Genomic DNA, 20,900 nt, shown 5'->3' with positions numbered 1-20,900 from the left:
TTTTTTAGTAGAGACAGGGTTTCACCATGTTAGCCATGATGGTCTCGATCTCCTGACCTCGTTATCTGCCCGCCTCAGCCTCCCAAAGTGCTGGGATTACAGGCATGAGCCACCGCGCCCGGTCCACAGCTCCTAATATCTTTTTGAAGAGGAATATCTGATGTAATTTTCCTGTCCCTGCCTTACCATTATATGTTGGGGTGGAAAGTGGGGAAGAACGGAAAATAACGTGTGCTTTTAATTCATAGGTCTTCAGTTTGAGATGAGCTGCACCCAGGTGTGTCCGGAATTGGTGGGTTCTTGGTCTGACTTCAAGAATGAAGCCGCAGACCCTCGCGGTGAGTGTTACAGCTCTTAAGGTGGCGCGTCTGGAGTCTGTCCCTTCTGATGTTCAGATGTGTTCGGAGTTTCTTCCTTCTGGTGGGTTCGTGGTCTCGCTGGCTCAGGAGTGAAGCTGCAGACCTTTGCGGTGAGTGTTACAGCTTTTAAGGCGGCGCGTCTGGAGTTGTTCCTTCCCCCCAGTGGGCTCCTGGGCTCGCTGGACTCAGGAGTGAAGCTGCAGATCTTCGCGGTGAGTGTTACAGCTCATAAAAGCAGCATGGACCCAAAAAGTGAGCAGTAGCAAGAGTTATTGCAAAGAGCAAAAGAACAAAACTTCCACAGTGTGGAAGGGGACACGAGCAGGTTGCCAATGCTGGCTCGGGCAGCCTGCTTTTATTCTCTTATCTGGCCCCACCCACATCCTGCTGATTGGTAGAGCCCAGTGGCCTGTTTTGTCAGGGTGCTGATTGGTGCGTTTACAATCCCTGAGCTAGATACAAAGGTTCTCCACGTCCCCAACAGATTAGTTAGATACAGAGTTTGGACACACAGGTTCTCCAAGGCCCCACCAGAGCAGCTAGATACAGAGTGTCGATTGGTGCATTTACAAACCTTGAGCTAAACACAGGGTGCTGATTGGTGTGTTTACAAACCTTGAGCTAGATACAGAGTGCCGATTGGTATATTTACAATCCTTGAGCTACACATAAAGGTTCTCCACGTCCTCACCAGAGCAGCTAGATACAGTGTCGATTGGTGCACTCACAAACCTTGAGCTAAACACGGGATGCTGATTGGTGTATTTACAATCCCTGAGCTAGATATAAAGACTCTCCACGTCCCCACCAGACTCAGGAGCCCAGCTGGCTTCACCTAGTGGATCCCGCACCGGGGCTGCAGGTGGAGCTGCCTGCCAGTCCTGCGCCCCGCACTCGCATTCCTCAGCCCTTGGGTGATCGATGGGACTGGGCGCCGTGGAGCAGGGGGTGGTGCTCGTCCGGGAGGCTTGGGCCACACAGGAGCCCATGGAGTGGGTGGGAGGCTCAGGCATGGCGGGCTGCAGGTCCCGAGCCCTGCCCCGTGGAAAGGCAGCCAAGGCCCAGCGAGAAATTGAGCGCAGCACCGGTGGGCCAGCACTGCTGGGGGACCCAGTACACCCTCCGCAGCCACTGGCCCGGGTGCTAAGTCCCCCATTGCCCGGGGCCAGCAGGGCTGGCTGGCTGCTCCGAGTGCGGGGCCCACCAAGCCCACGCCCACCCGGAACTCCAGCTGGCCCGCAAGCGCCACACGCAGCCCTGGTTCCCGCTCGTGCCTCTCCCTCCACACCTCCCTGCAAGCTGAGGGAGTGGGCTCCGGCCTTGGCCAGCCCAGAAAGGGGCTCCCACAGTGCAGTGGGGGGCTGAAGGGCTCCTCAAATGCCACCAAAGTGGGAGCCCAGGCAGGGGAGGTGCCGAGAGCAAGCGAGGGCTCTGAGGACTGCCAGCACACTGTCACCTCTCACAGGGAGCCTCACCTGGACCTGATGTAGAGGATGAGATCCTAGACCTGTCAAGCTGATGTAGTAATGGAGTGAGTGAGACTTGTATGGGCTGCTCTATCGTGCATGTGTGAAGGGCCAGAGAGCACACTCTGGTCAGTGGTTATTTTGGTGATCATCCCCAATGAACCACATGTCTAGGTGTTTACATTTTTGTTTAGTCACTTCCCACACTGATGTAGGCTGGGCCTATTACTGCCTTGACCATTAACACATGGCAGAAATGATGCTGTGCTGGTTCTGGGCCTAGTCCTTAACTGTGTGGGTAGCATCCACTGCCTCCCTGTTGGAATCCAGATACCACTCCACAAGTGACCCAAGCAGCCACCGGGTCCCAGCTGAGCACCCATCCAAGTCTCAGAGGAACACAGCCATTCCAGCACCTAGCCAACACCACATGAACCAGAAGAACAGCTTGGTCAGCCCACTGAATCATGAGACATAATAAATCACTAATTGAAGCTACTAAGCTTTAGAGTAGTTTATTACACTGCAATAAATAGCCAAAACAGATATCCCCTTTGGGTAGGCTTCTGAAGAGATGTAATGTGGAATAAACCTTTTCTTTCTTCTGAAAAATCTAATGCATTATACCTATGATCAATTCAACAACATTTAAACAAAGGAAACATAGCGTCTAAGTCTCAGGAGGCTTTTCTACAGTACATATTAGTCAGGGTTCTCCAGAGACACATAACAAATAGGATATAGATCAGATAGAGAGAGATACGGATGGATGAGAGGGAATTCACTAGGGAAATTGGCTCATGTGATTATGGAGGCCCAGAAGTCCCATAACTGGCCATCTGCAAGCTGGAGGCCCAGGGATGCCAGTGCCTGGCTCAGTTGAAGCCCAAAAGCCTCAGAACCAAGGAAGGCAATGATGTAATTCTCAGTCTGAGGCCAAAGACCTGAGAGCTTGGTGTGGGGGTTGGGGGGAAGGTTGGCAGGCCCCTAATTAGTCCAAAGGCCAAAGAACCTGGGGTTCCGATGTCCAAGGACAGGAGAAGAATGGAAAGACAGAGAAAGAGAAACATCTAAAATTAACCATCACAGGGTCTAAGCCATTAATAACAAATATTTCAAGTTTCCATTTTCAACAGAAAACAACAAACAGCTATGGAGGCCATCAAGAAAGAACACCCAAGGATGGGACATGTCAGCATTAGCTGACATCTCTTGATGGCAGACCAGAATACAGCCCAATCTAAGGCAAAGCCCTGTGTATCAAGTAAATTCACAAGAGAATGTGGAAGTCAGCAAGGACTACACAGGCACCAAACAATTGGTGGGAAGAGACAAGGAAACCTTCAAAGCAGGCCGGGCGCAGCGGCTCACGCCTGTAATCCCAGCACTTTGGGAGGCTGAGGAGGCCGGATTACCTGAGGTCAGGAGTTCGAGACCAGCATGGCCAACATGGAAAAACCCTCTCTCTACCAAAAATACAAAAATTACCCAGGTGTAGTGGTGTGCACCTGTGCTCCCAGCTACTAGGGAGGCTGAAGCAGAAGAATCGCTTGAACCCAGGAGCAATGAGCCAAGATCATGCCACTGCACTCCAGCCTAGGCAACAGAGCAAGACTGCAACTCAAAAAAAAAAAAAAAAAAGAAAAAGAAAAAAGAAAACTTCGAAGCAGTCAGAAGGATTAAGAAAGCAGTTCTTCTGAAACCTGTCATGGCAACGAGAGAATACTTCGGCATCAATACTTCCAGCAAAAACTTGTAAGCTCTGCTTTTTTGTACTGAGGCAGCTGCTGCCTTATGCCTGCTCCTTTGGATTTAGGAGTCCTCACATGTCTGATCCAATCACCCTGTCTTTTGGTCCATCTTATGGAGGGTCGAGATGGCATATATGGAACTTGGAGGCTTTCTGAAACTCTGGAAGAGGTATAGCAACTCCCTCATAAGGTTGTAGAATTATTCTAATTCGCACAGGATAATTCTTAGAAAACTGCCAGACACATAGTAAAATGTGAATATATTATACTATTAAATTACTACATATTTGTTCAATGACAAGTGTATCTGCTCTAAAAATGGTGACTTTCAGGGAAAAAAAAGTTTTTAAATAAAATATTATCAACCCACAAGTCTATTAATAGAAAATTGGTTAGGCCAGGCACAGTGGCTCATGCTTGTAATCCCAGCACTTTGGGAGGCCGAGGCGGGAAGATCATCTGAAGTTGGGAGTTCAAGACCAGCCTGACCAACATGGAGAAACCCCATATCTACTAAAAATACAAAATTAGCCAGGCATGGTGCCGCATGCCTGTAATCCCAGCTACTCGGGAGGCTAAAGCAGGAGAATTGCTTGAACCTGGGAGGCAGAGGTTGCGATGAGTCGAGATTATGCCATTGCACTCCAGCCTGGGCAACAAGAGCAAAACTCCGTCTCAAAAAAAAAACAAAGAAGAAAAAGAAAATTGGTTTAAACAAACTGTAGTCTAGGTATAGAGTGAAATACTATGTTGTCTTTAAAAAGATAGCAAATGGCCGGACGTGGTGGCTCACGCCTGTAATCCCAGCACTTTGGGAGGCTGAGGCGGGTAGACTGCCTGAGGTCAGGAGTTTGAGACCAGCCTGGCTAACATGGTGAAATCCTGTTTCTACTAAAAATACAAAAAAATTATCCAGGCATGGTGGCACACACCTGTAGTCCCAGCTACTTGGGAGGCTGAGGCAGGAGAATTCCTTGAACCCAGGAGGCAGAGGTTGCAGTGAGCCGAGATTGCGCCACTGCACTCCAGCCTGGGCGACAGAGCAAGACTCTGTCTCAATAAATAAATAAAAGATAACAAATTAGGGAATTTTAAAAGATTTCTGTGGAAAATTTCTAGTATATATAAATAAAAAAACAAGTTGAATAAATAGTATAATTCCATTTAAACAATAAGTATATACTGTTTGCGTATGTATTTTAAAAATCCGATAGAAACCACCAGAATAGGCCGGGCGCAATGGCTCATGCCTATAACCCCAGCATTTTGGGAGGCTGATAAGGGTGGATCATCTGAGGTCAGGAGTTCGAGACCAGCCTGGCCAACATGGTGAAACCCCGTCTCTACTAAAAATACAAAAATTTGCTAGGTGTGGTGGCAGGCGCCTGTAATCCCAGCTACTCGGGAGGCTGAGGCAGGAAAATCGCTTGAACTCGGAGGCGGAGGTTGCAGTGAGCTGAGATCGTGCCATTGCACTCCAGCCTGGGTGACAGAGTGAGACTCCGTCTCAAAAAAACAACAAAAAAAGAAACCACCAGAATAAATCAATGCTATAACTTGGGTGAGAACTTCACTTTCTACAAAATACATGGTTACAATATCTTTTCTTCCTTTGACAGGGTCTCATTCTGTTGCTCAGGCTGCAGTACAGTTGGGCGATCATAGCTCACTGCAGCCTCAACCTCCTGGACTCAAGCCATCTGCCTGCCTCAGCCTCCCAAAGTGCTGGGTTTACAGGCATGAGCCACTGCGCCCAGGCCTATAATATCTTTTTAACAGTAAGCACACGACTTTTATAATCAGAAAAAATATTAACGTAAAGGCACACAGATCCTTCTTAGAACACACCATACTTTTACCTGAATTTGTTTGCAATGTTTTCAATATTCATGCTTCTCTAGCACTCGAGAGCTCAAGTCTGTTTTTAGAACAACATCATAAGCTGCTACATGAGCTGTTTCCTGTGTCGGTCAGCTATTTTTAATTAATGAACATTTGCTGTAAGAGATCACTGAGAAAGAAAAACACCAACTCTTTTGCAAGTTACACTACAGAAAGGTTTCCTCTCTAGAATTAAAAAAAAAAAAAATACAGCATTCATCATACAGTAGACAATGATTGAGGATAAAATCAGAGTTAAGCAGTGGCTGGGCATAGTGAGGCACACCTGTAGTTCCCAGCTACTTGGAAGGCTGAGGTGGGAGGAATGCTTGAGTCCAAGAGTTTGAGGTTGCAGTGAGCCAAGAGGGTGCTACTGCACTCCAGCCTGGGTGACAGGGCAACACCCCAACTTAGAAAAAAAATTATAATTAAATAAAAATTAAAAAAAATTTTTTTTGAGATGGAGTCTCGCTCTGTTGCCCAGCCTGGAGTGCAATGGCGTGATTTCGGCTCACTGCAACCTCCACCTCCCGGGTTCAAGCAATTCTCCTGCCTCAGCCTCCCGAGTAGCTGGGATTACAGGCACCCACCACAACTCTCGGCTTATTTTTGTATTTTTAGTAGAGACAGGGTTTCACCACGTTGGCCAGGCTGGTCTCAAACTCTTGACCTCAGGTGATCTGCCCGCCTTGGCCTCCCAAAGTGCTGGGATTACAGGCGTGAGCCACCAAGCCCGGCCAAAAGTTAAAATTAAAGAAGACCAGTGGAAGGGAAGAAAGAAAACAATTAAAAAAATACAAGATTGGTTTTAAATCAAATATTTATATTAAGCACCTATGTATAAAACACTGTCCTACACTGACTAGAAGACTTAAAATTGTGGTTGCTGTTTCTGTAAGAGCAGTAATATAACTATGCCCTCCACTTTATTAGCTCCTTTCAAGGTTTATATGAGACAATATGGTTAAACAGTAGCTGCTATATAGACTTTAATTACGTTTTATTTATTTATTCTTCAACCAACAAGTTATATACCACCACAAGGAATTCTTCTGAAGAGTTAGCAGCATCCAAAAGAGGTAAGACTTGTCCAATGGTTGGGTAGTAGAGCCAGGGTTCCTAAGGTCCCACAAGCCACTCTCCCTTAGAATGGAGACAGAATTTTCCTGTAGATCTAATAAGGCCCTTATTGCACCGTGTATAGTAACATATATTCCAGGCTCAAAATGAAAAAAGGGTTTATTTTTCTTTTACCAAACTGTAATCCTCATGACAGGTGACAATCCACACAATTATAATAAACTCTACCCACATCCTCTTAACTCACCACTCTCCTAAATTCTTTGCATTTGTAACTGTTTCACAATAGGATGCTTTCTTGCCTATTTTTATTTGGTTCAAATAGGTTTTAGAATTTTTACTTAATAAAATATATTTCTACCTAATAAAATATATGTGCAATAAAAATGTAGCTAAAAATGCTGGGCTTGGAGAGAAGCTCTGGGAGTAGGGTGGTGAAGGCTGATGCCCTCTAAAAAGGCCTTGCCTGTACCACATTCCGTAGGAGGTGTAATTGCTAATTTTTTTTTTTTTTTTTTTTTTTTTGAGACAGACTCTCGCTGTGTTGCCCAGGCTGGAGTGCAGTGACGCCATCTTGGCTCACTGCAACCTCCCATTCCCATCTTCAAGTGATTTTCCTGTTTCAGCCTCCCGAGTATCTGGGATTACAAGCATGCGCCACCACGCCTGGCTGATTTTTGTATCTTTAGTAGAGACAGGGTTACGCCATATTGGCCAGGCTGGTTTCGAACTCCTGGCCTCAAGCAATCCACCCACCTCAGCCTCCCAAAGTGCTAGAATTTCAGCTGTGAGCCACCGCGCCCGGCCATGATTGCTAATTTTATATGTCAAGTTGGAAGGTATTTTGGATAACATTAAATCAGTGAGCTTTGAGCAAAGCAGACTGCCCTCCATAAGGTGAGTGGTCCTCATCCAATCAGTTAAAGGCCTGAACAGAACAGAGACCAGCCTCCCAAGCAAGAGCAAATTCCCCAGCAAATGGCCTTTGGACTTGTTTTGCATCATTGGCTGTCCTGGGACTTGAGCCTGCCAACCCCACTGCAGATTTGGACTTGTCAGCCTCCATAATCTCATGAGTTAATTCCTTATGATACAATTTTTTATATGTATATGTACAGGCACACTCAGAGATACTGCAGGTTCAGTTCCAGACCACCAAAACAAAGTGAATATCTCAAAGCTAGTCGCAAACTTTTTTCATTTCCTAGTACATATAAAAGTTAAAGTTATGTTTACAATACACTGTAGTTTGGCAAATGTGCAATACCATTATATTTTAAAAAACAATCGACATCCTTAATTAAAATATACTTTAGGCTGGGTACAGTAGCTCACGCCTATAATCCCAACACTTTGGGAGGCCGAGGTGGGAGGATTGCTTGAGGCCAGGAGTTCAACACCAGCCTGAGCAACATAGCAAGACACCATCACTACAAAAATTTAAAAAGTAGCCACGCATGGTGGCGTATGACTGTGGTCCCAGCTGCTTGAGAGGCTGAGGCAGAAGGATCACTTGAGACCAGGAAGCTAACGTTGCAGTGACCAGTGACTGCACCACTGCATTACAGTTTGGGTTACAGAGCAAGATCCTGTCTCAAAAAACAAACAAATGCACAAATACACACACACACACTTTGTTGCTAAAAAATACAACGATCATCTAAGTCTTCAGTAAGTAATACTCTTTCTGCTAATGGAGGGTCTTTCTTTGATTTTTTTTTTTTTTAAGACGTTGTCTTGCTCTGTCGCCAGGCTGGAGCGCAGTGGCGCGATCTCAGCTCACTGCAACCTCTGCCTCCTGGGTTCAAGCGATTCTCCTGCCTCAGCCTCCCGAGTAGCTGGGACTACAGGTGTGCGCCACCACGCCCAGCTAATTTTTGTATTTTCAGTAGAGACGGGGTTTTACCATGTTGGCCGGGATGGTCTCCATCTCTTGACCTCGTGATCTGCCCGCCTCAGCCTCCCAAAGTGCTGGGATTACAGGTGTGAGCCACCGCACCCAGCCTCTTTCTTTGATGTTAATGGCGGCTGACTGATGAGGGTGGTGGCTGTTAAAGGTGAGGGCTGGGGGGGCTATGGCAATTTCTTAAGACAAGGAAGAAAACAGTATATTATATATATATATAAAACATACAAAATATGTATTAATCGACTGTTTATGTTATCAGTAAGGCTTCTGGTCAATAGTAGGCTATTAGTAAATTAAATTTTGGGGTAGTCAAAAGTTATATGTGAATTTTCAGCTCAACAGGGGTCACTGCCCCAACCCCAAAGCTGTTCAAAAGTCAACTGCATTTTTTAACACTTTCTATTGTTTTTACTCCTCCTGTTCCTCTAATTTCCATAATGTATCCTAGCCTATAGCCACTACTCTTCTCTGGCTTTAATCCCTATTACATCACAATTTAATCACAAACTGGAGTTGTAGGTAGAACAGCACAGTTTAGGATGACGAAACAAAAAAAGAGATTAAGTGACTTGTACAAGCTCGAACTTTAATGATAAAATTATGATTAGGACCCATTTTCTAGTAACTCTTAGTTTAATGTCTATTATAAGGGACCAGCATAACATAGTTCTTAGAAGCACAGGATGTAAGTCACATTACACTTGCTCTATCATTTATGAAACTATGACCCTTAATATTAACTTGTATTCTTTCTGCTTTGGTTTCTTCATCTATAAAAATTGGAGTAATTAATAGCATCTATCTTCAGACAAGATTTTCTGAGATAAAATGCATAAAACACCTTGAATACTACCTAGTACATAGAAGCTCTCAATAAATTTTATCCATTCTTATTCTTCTATTATTATTCAATCAGCCTTTCAATGAGCATATACTATAAATACCCTATGTGCATTTGTCCTTTTTCTTTAATCCCTTGTGGAATCAAACTTCAGGTGGTTGGGGCCAAAAACAATTATAAAACATGACTAGGCCGGGCGCAATGGCTCACGTCTGTAATCCTAGCACTTTGGGAGACCGAGGTGGGCGGATTGCTGGAGCTCAGGAGTTCGAGACCAGCCTGGGCAACACGGTGAAACCCTGTCTCTACTAAAACAGAAAAAATTAGCCGGGCGAAGTGGTGCGCGCCTGTAGTCCCAGCTACTTGGGAGGCTGAGGCAGGAGAACTGCTTGACCCAGGAAGAGGGAGGTTGCAGCGAGCTGAGATTGCACCAGTGCACACTAGCCTTGGCGACAGAGTGAGATTCTGTCTCAAACAAACAAACAAAAAAACAAAAACATGACTAATCCAGTATGTACATACATAACGTTTCACTGGGACACATGCAAATAAGTGCTTAGCAAACATTAAAAGAAACTTGGGGCCTAAAGGAAATCAGAATTTTAAAGAATATTTCTACCTACTGAGTTGTCTACTTAGTGGCTACGTGAAATCAGTGTCTTCTAAATTTAGAATTTTACTGAATTCTTTCTTCATGGGATCACTTTATACAACACTGACAAAGTCTTCACAAGGCTACATTCTAAATCCAAGTAGCAAATAAATAGCAAATAAATCTTCTTCTGCCATTTTTTATCTCTTGTCTTTAACCACAACATTTCATTTTCTGCCCACATGGACTAATGCTTCTTCAAAGAAGTGGGCAGTGGTCAGAAAGCCTGAGTTCTCATTTCAATTCTCACACAAAAGTTAAAAGAAACTTGGAGCCTAAGTTTCTTGGGGCAACCTCAGGTTTGCCAATAATGGCACCACCTGCTCCCCCTATTTCACAGGCTTCCAAGAACAAAAACAGTGAAGACACATCATAAAACAGGGACATTTACCCAGGCTTCCATGTTCATTGCACAGAGTTAAAAAATATATATTTGTGGGGACTGTATCAATGTTTCTCCAAATGAAGGCATTTTAGATATCTGAAGCTCAAAGTCAAGAAGAATACGTTATTTACCTTTAAACAATGAAAACTGAATGATACTTTATTGCATTATACTGTAACCTAATCTGTTGCCCCAAAAGTTGGTATTTTAATCCACAACAAAGGTGACTCTTGACATTCTTAATTACATAGTGAAGGGGTTTTTGTTTTAAGATCTTCAATATGAAATCCACATCTGGGTTGAAGTTTTACTCTTTTCTACTAGTCGCATGTGACTTAGAACAAGCTATCTCAGCTCTTGGATTTTGTTTGCTTGTTTTTCGGTAATGGTTATTGTTTTGAATAAAGAAGAAAATTCCATCTTGTCTCACAGCTACCTATGAGGAGGCAAGTGAGATCATACACACCAAGTTATAAACAAGAAGGCACCTGTTCAACACTGGTTGCCCAGTTCAGTCAGCATCTGAGGCAGCAGTTTTCATTCAAGAGCTCCCACTTGAATTTCTAAAGTTGTATCAAGTGTATTCTCTAAGTGATGTGAGTTAACACAAGCCCACTGATCTAAAAATTGCAAGAAATTAGCTTAAAATCCCCCCACAAAAGAAATACAGGGTGAGCAGAAGTTTTAGCAAGAATATTTGCCATGATGTACAGTACTTACACTGCATTTTCTTGTTGTTCTCACTGCTTTTATATTACGGCAATGGCACAAGTAAATGTGGGGTGAGCTGATGAAAATTTCACTGCCCTGAAAGCACTATTTTAAGCATCAAGGTCTAATCATCCAACCTTACATATTTCAAGAGGTATATAACCTTCTCACTTTGAATCTGGCCCTTGGATATTGCCAGCCTGGAAGGTCTTCAGTTAAGACAGAAAAATAAACCTAAAAAGAAAATGTCTTCTTATCTTTTTCTCTAAGGCATGAGGTTTTACAAACTATGGTCTCATCTCATTAGTGGTTCTGATAAAAAAAAATCAGAATGTATAAGCACATGAAAAATTTTATTTCAAACACACATACAAGCACACTCACACACATACACACAGTGTTACACTGGGCTGTGGTTAAAAAATTTGAAAGTCGGCTGGGCGCAGTGGCTCACACCTATAATCCCAGCACTTTGGGAGGCTGAGGTGGGCAGATTGCCTGAGGTCAGGAGTTTGAGGCCAGTCTGGCCAACATGATGAAACCCTGTCTATACTAAAAATACAAAAAAAAATTAGCCAGGCCTGGTAGCATGCACCAGAAATCCCAGCTACTTGGGAGGCTGAAGAAGGGGAATTGCTTGAACCAGGGAGGTGGAGGTTGCAGTGAGCTGAGGTCACTGCAAAAAAAAGGCAAACCACAGAACAAGCTGTGATGGCACTTAAGGCTGCCACATCAAGAATGGAAAAGTAATCTTCCCACCAACTTTCCAATTACAGATATACAGTGTTTACTTGCTATAAACCACCTGATATTATGCAGAAACCAAACTAAATCCATAACTTAAAAGGTCATGGTTAAAACTGTTACAAAAGCCAGGCGCGGTGGCTCATGCCTGTAATCCTGGCACTTTGGGAGGCTGAGGCGGGTGGATCACGAGGTCAGAAGTTCAAGACCAGCATGGCCAAGATGGTGAAAGCCCGTCTCTACTAAAAACATAAAAATTAGCCTGGCGTGGTGGCGGGCACCCGTAATCCCAGCTACTCGGGAGGCTGAGGCAGGAGAATTGCTTGAACCCAGGAGGCAGAGGTAGCAGTAAGCTGAGATCGCGGCACTGCACTCCAGCCTCGGCGACAGAGCAAGACTCCATCTAAAAAACAAAAACAAACAAACTGATGCAAAGATGAAAAGAAAGGATAACAGTCACAAGGCAAAGGGCATAAACTGTGGGAACAGAGCACAGCAGAGACTTATATTTTTAAAATGTACAACATTCTTGAAATTCTCCCTGGAAGCCTTCTTCTGTTTGCTTTAAGGGAGCTTTCAGTGCTCTGTGCAAATACGTGGATTCAAATTCCACTTCTGCTAAATTCACATTAAATAAACTACCTGGCAAAAACATGTCAAAAGAAGTAGAAAAAAAGATGAATAAATGGAAATGTTACTACTAATCTCTTCAGGTAAAAGCCTCTTAAGCATTGTGGTATTTTTCTATAACATGTGAGCTCCTAAGACTGAAGAAATCATTTCAATCAACACTTCTGTTACTAGAGCTTGGTGATATCATGAATCATACAGGACCATGAAAACTCTCATCTGAAAAGGGTGAAAAAGAAAAATCAGAAAATTTTGTATTTATACCAGTTTTAATTGCTTAAATAGTTATTATGGTTTTTTGTGCGTTATCTTAATTTAAAATATGATATTTTCCCAAAGGAAAAATAATTTGTCATAACCGAATATTCTGTTATAAAACACAAACTTAGAAGAATCAATATTAACTTTCAACATGATGAATAAGTTATGGACCACAGATACAACCAGCACACATCATATATGTATAAGATGTCTCAAGTAGGGTTAGTACAAATACATCCTTATAAAAAATTCAACTAGTAATCTGGAGAATATCAGTTACTTGTATTCTTTATCTCAGCTAATGGCATTTTCAAATGCCCAGTTAATTCAATAGAAACAGTATGTAGAAAGAGTTTAGGTAGAAGACTGAGGCTGAAATACAGAATCTGCAATACAGTGATTGTGCGCATGGGCAGGTTATTACACTTTTCTGAGCCTCAGTCTTGCTGACTATAAAATGGCAATATTTATTTCAGAAGATTATTGTTAACATCATGTCACATAACATATGCAAAGGAAATCATATAATCACTGGTACCTACTAGAATCTAAACCAATCCTCAAATGACCAATCTTTCTTTGCCTTAGTTTTCCAGCATCTTTCTCTAAGTTGTTTCAAGTTTTCATCATGCAATCCATTGACTTTTTGACTCTCCACTCCAGGATATGTCCACTTATAAATTCTATACATGTACTACTCTACTATTATATTATAAAATACTCAAAAATAGCTTTTTCTTCTTCTTTTTTTTTTTTTGAGACCGGGTCTCACTGTCGCCCAGGCTGGAGTGCAGTGGTACGATCACAGCTCACTGCAGCCTTGTATCCTCCAACCTCAAGCATCAGCCTCCCAAGTAGCTGGTGCTACGGGCACGCACCACCACCAGTGGCTAATTATTTTATTTTTGTTAGTAAAGCCAAAGTCTCACTATGTTGCCCAGGCTGGTCTCGAACTCCTGGGCTCAAGCAAACCTCCCGCCTCGACTTCTCAAAGTCCTCGGATTACAGGCGTGAGCCACCATGTCTGGCCAAAAACAGCACTTTTAATAAGATGACACAAAGATAAAATGAAAAGTAGTTTTAAATATTGGCTTCACAATACTAGTTAATATCTCAAGGCATGATAAAATGTCAGGTAAAGTTCATACATAATAACAGTGGATGTAAATTCAGACTTCAAAGAATCTCTGTGATACTTCTGATTTTATTTGTGACTGTAAAGGCCTCGTCTCCCTAAATAATAATAATCAAGTAGGCTAAGCATGGTGGCTCATGCCTATAATCCCAACACTTTGGGAGGCTGAGGTGGGGGGATCACTTGAGTCAGGAAATTAGAGACCAGCCTGGGAAACATGAGACCACGTCTCTCCAAAAACAAAAAAAAACAAAAAAAATCAGCCAGATGCAGTGCCGTATGCCTGTAGTCCTAGCTACTGAGGAGGCTGAGGCCAGAGGATTGCTTGAGCCCAGGAAATGGAGGCTGCAGTGAGCTGTCATCATGCCATGCACTCCAGACTGGACAACAGAGTGAGGCCCTGTCTAGAAATTTAGAAAAAAAAAAAAGAAAATCTACTTGTAAACACTTTTAGATTTTTAAATACATTTCTTTTTCAAATCTTTTTTAAGTTTTTATTTTATTTGTATTTTTATTTCAGGAATAGCACAAAAGAATCAAATCTTTATTTTTGAAGGAGATAAATCCAAATGCAGAAGCATCTTTGAGTGCCTTAAATTTACATTTTATGATCCTTATAAATAGCAGTGTCTGGCCAGACACAGTAGCTCATGCCTATAATCCCAGCGCTTTGGGAGGTCAAGGTGGTGGATCACTTGAGGCCATGAGTTAGAGACCAGCCTGGCCAACATGGCAAGACCCCATCTCTACTAAAAATACAAAAATTAGCCAGGCGTGGTGGCGCACACCTGTAACCCCAGCTAGTTGGGAGGCTGAGGCATGAGAATCGCTTGAACCTGGGAGGTGGAGGTTGCAGTGAGCAGAGAGTGTATCGATGGATTCCAGCCTGGGTGATAGAGCGAGAGACTCTGTCTCAAAAAAAAAAAAAAAAAAAAGCAGTGTCAAACATCCCAAATAAACACAATTTGCCAACCAAATTAATAATCTTTGCTGGCCCAACTCTTCCTGCTGTCTAAATACTTCAAAATTATTAATTCTAATAAGTTGTTGACTCAAGAGATTTCTGAAGGTATCATCACTCCTGTTGATAATTTTCCTCCTACCAATAGCCAGTTACATGAGGAAAGGATTGATAATTCCAATGAAAAGACCTGGCTTCTTTTCTAACTATTGGAGAAACTTTAGAAAAACTTTAGGCAAATCCTTTAAACTCTATGAGCCTGTTTCCTCTTTGGTAAAAATGAGGATTGTATCCCTACAGAATGGGTGAATGCTTCCTAAAACAAAAACTCCCTCCAAATTCAGTTGTACCCGTGAAGTATTGCTGTTAAATCTAGAACAATGAATGTAAAGTTATAAGCCACAGAATACAACCTGGACCCTATCACTAATTTGTCAAGTAACCTTAAGAAAGTCAATCTCTCTGGGCCTAATTAGTAAAAGAGATTACTGGACCAAATCACTAGTTCCAATAATTGTTATGGGCGATGGAGCACTTGAAATTAACAAACGATGATCTTTGCATAACACGTTTCAGTGGGATAAAATAAAATATTGATTTACCAGCTAAGTTCAGTTCTATCACACACAGGGGATATCTTATGAATGGAAAATTCAACCATATTATATATATTAGAAATTTAAAAAATCAGCCTGGGCACGTTGGCTCAGGCCTGTAATCTCAGCACTTTGGGAGGCCAAGGCAGGAGGATCACTTCAGCCCAGTTCAAGAGCAGCCTGGGCAACATGGCAAAATCCTGTCTCTACAAAAAAAACACAAAAGACACAAAAATGAGCATGGTGGCGTACACTTGTAGTCCCAATTACTCAGGAGGCTGAGGTGGGAAGATCACCTGAGCCCAGGGAGGTCAAGACTGCAGTGAGCAATGATCACAGTACTGAACTTCAGCCTAGGCAACAGAATGAGACCTTGTCTCAAATAGGAAAAAAAAAAAGAAAAACAAAGAAAAAATCACAGCTACCAGCATACAAGGCTACAAAAAAAATTGGCTGTTTGAGGTTTCCCTCTTAATCTGTATTCATTTGTACCTGTTATTTCACTTTGAATTCAGGCTCGTACTCCCAAGCAGAGAAATGGTAGAAAATAATGAAAATTAAAAAAAAAAAGTGAAAAATCATAAATGAGGAAATTATGTTACCTAATTAAAAGAAAACAATCCTGTCATTAATTATTAATTATTTAATTATTTAATTTCAGTAGCAGAACTCCACACCCAAGCTCCTTAGAGCAGAGCTAGAAGATCAAGGCACCAGATACTCTCCAAGGTCCCTTTCAGCCCTAGGGACTCTGTTTCTGGTTTCCACTGCAATTTGCATTCTATTTTTATATGCTACATACTGTTCCAGGCACAAATAACCATGTAATATTTTTAATAGTACCTGATAAACTGATCATTTTAGTAAGAGTCCAGTAAACATTTATTTACACATTTACACACACCCACAGAAAGCAATCCTTGTATTCTGAGTCCACTGAAGACATCTCAGAAGCTCAATAAACACTGTTAACAGTACATGTTATTCCATACTAATTTAATAAACCAAGGACAAACTGTCTTTTCTTGCAAAAGACCCTAGCAATTAGATATTAAAATTTTCCTTGCACACTGCAGTGTATTTGTGACATATACTTGTGGCATGCATAAGATAAGCTAGTTCCAAAATAAACACAGTGGTAAATAGTAAGGAAAATCTAGTAACTACAGTTCCTCGTCTTAAGATCATGACATCTTTAGGCATTATTATTTCAAGTGTTACAGTCCTGAACTAAGTTAATGGACAAAAACAAGCCAAGGCACACTTATGCTAAACTATAAAATGTCTCACATATGTATCTCTGATTTCTAGTTAAAAAAAAAATTATAAACAATGTTAAAATGGAATACTTAAAACTTCACTGTTTTTCTTGGTAGAAATTATGTATTTGCTTATAAGAAACTTTCTAATGACATAATGTAGAAATAAATAAAAAACTGAGGATAGAAGCCTTATTCTGCTTTTTAAAATCTAGAGGTTTTCAAATAACTCAATCCCTTCATCAAGTCCACTCCTGCTCATTACAGAGCTTAGAATAGGATACACCAGTTCCTGTTCTCGCATTTTCATTTTGTCCCAAATATCATCCTGTCAACACAGAAACAATGCACATTCAAATAAGCATTTACAGAAAAAGCAAAAGAAGCCCAGCTCATTAGCTGACTGAAGACCTTTATGTTTCAAATACAAAAGGGGAGATGGAAGTCACAGACCACTCAAACAAGAAAACGGCAGGTTATTTGTTCCTTTAAAAAGGACTGCATCTTTTTGTGGAAGAGGATCTACTGGAATTATTTAGAAATATACAGCAGCTCTAATTTTTCTAAACATTTATCAATTCTTTCAGTATAGCTTTTGACTACTTTGGTCAAGTATTTCTAGATTAAGTACATTCTAGGGCATGAGGGCATGACCTGAACTTTATAACATTTTGATCAAAACAGATCCAAAATTAAATTAATGATAATATTTGGCAGCATCAATCTCATTAATAAGATTATGGATAAATCCTCCCACGAGTTACTTTGCTTTCTGAACCTATCTTTGAGTTTTGAGCAGAATAAATTCTCCCAAAGCTGGCAATTCCAACAACCAAGGGGTAGTATCCTTTTACTACAGTAGTCTCATGTGAGCCACTAAATAGAAATTACTCAGGTGCTATGAAAACAGAAAGAAGTAAAGAAAAATAGATTGACTAAAGGGTAACTGTTCATCCACTGTCCCCTTACAAATACATGCCTAGTCTCTGTTCCCCTGCAGCCACAAATTATGGCAATAGTCACATGGGTACATTCTAATCACATAGCAAAAGTATACACTATTACAGTGAAAAAATGGGCACAAGGTATCTCCTGAATTTCAAGCAATTTTAGATAGCTTTTAGTAATAACTATAGGAGAGCTATAATATTTGCCAAGATTTTATTGAAGTTATCTTTAAATAAACACTTGACATACTATTTTAGCAAAAACATCAGCTAGAAAAAGATATCTTCAGCTGTTAATGACAGTAATGCTTGCAGGGTTTTACACAACAGCTGAGAAGGTTGGATGGAGACTAGTGGTCTGCAAACTGAAAGTGCACTCGTCCACTGAAATGATTACTTTTTCTATTGTTATGCTACTACTACAGCAATCACAATAATTCCTTTTGCTTTTTAAGTATTCACAAAGAAAATAACAGGATAACAATCTAGTCTAGAACTCTGTGACTATCTGCTATTATTTAATTCATTTATAGCATAACTTTATGATTCAGAAGGCAAATATTTTCATACATGGAAGTTCTTAAAATGACAGAGGACTAAGTTTCCTGATTCAGGATACAGAAATCTTAGACTAGATCATGCTGCCTCCTAGAGGCCAAAGGTACATAAAAACACCTCTATTTCACAAAAAGTCTTTAATTTTAACAAAAATCACATACCCTCAAATTTGAGTCTTCATAAAAGCTGCACAGAACATGTCCTGCTTATTATCTTAAGGGACTCTATTTTCTAGTTTTTGGGTAAATACCTTTGTACGTTAAAATACTGAACTGATTAGGGAAAGTCTACTGCAAATGATCCAACCTTGAGGAGATAAAAGAAATGGCATAGATATTCTGCTATCACAGAAATGGAATATAATATTCCAAAATCTATACTATATGTTTAAATACAATTATCCTGGTATTTTAAAATAAACTATCTAAAAGGAATATACTACTATACTTCATGATACAGCCATATGTCTAAAAAGGCTCTAAATATAAATAAAAAATTTTATGTATAAGTATAATCTACTGAACAAAATGCATAAAGGTGTTTCAATAGAGCAAACATACTGACAATGAACACACATGCAATCAACTGTTGCTGCTAAATCCTCATTCACAATGTTATTGTCAAAGAAATTTGTAGAAAATACTGAGATGAATAAACTTCTTAATTCAAGGAAGTACAAGAACAATGCAATCTTCCTCGTTTCTTCTTGGCTGCCTGCTGCTTCATTGTGTTTGTATAATAAAAGATCTGGCAAGTTGCAAGTCTCAATGCATTCACATGGGCAATTCCATAGCAGAGTTACCTTGGGAATAAACATGCTCTCTGGCACAAAGAACCATTCTAAGTAGGTCAAAGCTCCCCCAAACTGTATTTAGATCACCAGATGTTTCAAAAAACACTTTAAAATTCTGTCACTTCACCCAGAAAGGAAGAAAAATTTAAAAATCACAGGATACACTGTCAGAACAAGAACACTGAGGATGAAAAAAGGCAACTTAAAAGAAAATGTTCTGAGACTCTAAATTGTACTGCGGTCAATTTAAGATACCAGCAAAATATTTGGTCAAAAGCATGCTTTATGATCCTATTGAATTTAATTTTTAAAAGTAAAACAAAACTACTACAATCAAAGACAAACAGGAATCAAAACTTACTTAAAACAATCATTTAGTATGAAGGAATCAGCAGCTGGGACCTATCACATTGACAGTATTTTAAAGCATTAGCGATTTTTAAAAAATAAAAGCTTAGAAAAGACTAGTGATTGGCCCTAACCTATGTGCCTATGAAATTAAGACCAACAACAACAACAAAAAGTTTTTAACCAGTAACTTGGTTTAAAAAATTCTCTTTGCTATAAAATCCTCAACTATAGGAAAATGTCTTAAGTGACAGAAGAAAGACCACTTCTCTTAAGGAAGAGAGGATGCTGCTCATTTCCACTCTGCTTTTTGGGCAACTGAGATTTTGCATTTCAAAGAACGAAAGGCTAATCCCTTAATGAAGGTACTAGAAAGAGTAAAAACCCTTGCATGCGGTACAAATGCTCATTCCTTCAAGTCACTCCCATATTACTCATCCAGTGTGAATGTTAGAGAAAAGAACATTGCTCTGCTCCTGGAACACAGAGAACTTGTCTCTCATGTCTCGTTATCAGTGTGCCTATTTCTCCTCAATGCTATCAGGAATTTAATAACTGGCTACCAGGTTAGGAAATAAACCTTTTTTTTTTTAATCATTTCACATTTTATCTTCAGTTGGGGCTTTTTATTAACAGCTAAACACTCACAGAAATCGAGTCCACAATCTTTCCCTGGTGGCAAGAGTCCACTTACAAAGAAAACCGTGGAATTATTCTTGATGAGAAGGAAATAAATAACACCACCTAAAATATTTTTAGATGCAAATCAGACTCCTAATATAAAGATAGTTTTGATCCATTCATTCAACAAATATTTAATGAACTCTATACATCAGTTGTTCAGTTAGGTACTGGGTGTGGATTAGTAAATACAACAGGTGTGAGCCTTCCCTCCTCAATCTAAAGAATGAGATAAATGAAAATCTAAAAAATAAAGTATGATAATAATTATAGAAAAAAGTTTTTGAAAGCCTGAAACAATGAGCCCAAGTTAGGCTTCTTCTAAGCAAGTTGGGCAAGTTAATTATCTGTCTGAACACCATTTTGCTTCTCTGTAGGATGAGCACACAAAATTTATCAGCCAAACTGGAGTTCTTATCCAGGACTAATGATAAATTAAGAGATCCTAGGCTGGGTGCAGTGGCTCACACCTGTAATCCCAGCACTTTGGGATGCCGAGGCAGGTGGATCACTTGAGGCCAGGAGTTCGACACCAGTCTGGCCAACATGGCAAAACCCCATCTCTACTAAAAATACAAAAATTAGTCAGGCATGATGGCGCATACCTGTGATCCCAGCTACTCGGGAGGCTGAGACACAAGAATTGCTTAAACCCAGGAGGTGGAGTCTGCAGTGAGCCAAGACTGTGCCACTCTGCTCCAGCCTGGGCAACAGAGTGAGGCTCTACATTTAAAAAAAAAAAAATATATATATATCTATATTATATATATATATATATATAATATATATATAAAATATATATATAATATAGATATATATACACACACACGTTTTATAAATCTTTATTACATAAAACTATTTGGATGTGTTAATAATTATCAAAGCTGGATGATGGGTAAATGGGGGTCATACTAGTCTTTACTTTGCATAAGTTTGAAATTTTCTATAATAG

General features: G+C 40.7%; 1 protein-coding gene across 3 annotated transcripts in view, besides 1 other annotated feature; it reads right to left on the bottom strand.

Moving 5' to 3' along the window:
• Nucleotides 1-20,900, bottom strand: part of FGD4 (FYVE, RhoGEF and PH domain containing 4) — a 246,493-nt gene that overhangs the window by 172,121 nt on the left and 53,472 nt on the right. The window lies entirely within an intron of this gene.
• Nucleotides 20,032-20,821: an enhancer, noted in NCBI's record as "H3K27ac hESC enhancer chr12:32606043-32606832 (GRCh37/hg19 assembly coordinates)". NCBI's record gives its function as "activates a minimal SCP1, AML or CMV promoter by ChIP-STARR-seq in primed H9 embryonic stem cells {active_cell/tissue: H9 hESC(primed)}" and the evidence as "EXISTENCE:reporter gene assay evidence [ECO:0000049][PMID:30033119]".

Source organism: Homo sapiens, chromosome 12, assembly GCF_000001405.40.
Source record: "Homo sapiens chromosome 12, GRCh38.p14 Primary Assembly".
Taxonomy (NCBI): Eukaryota; Metazoa; Chordata; class Mammalia; order Primates; family Hominidae; genus Homo; species Homo sapiens.
This window is presented reverse-complemented; position numbering and strand designations above follow the sequence as displayed.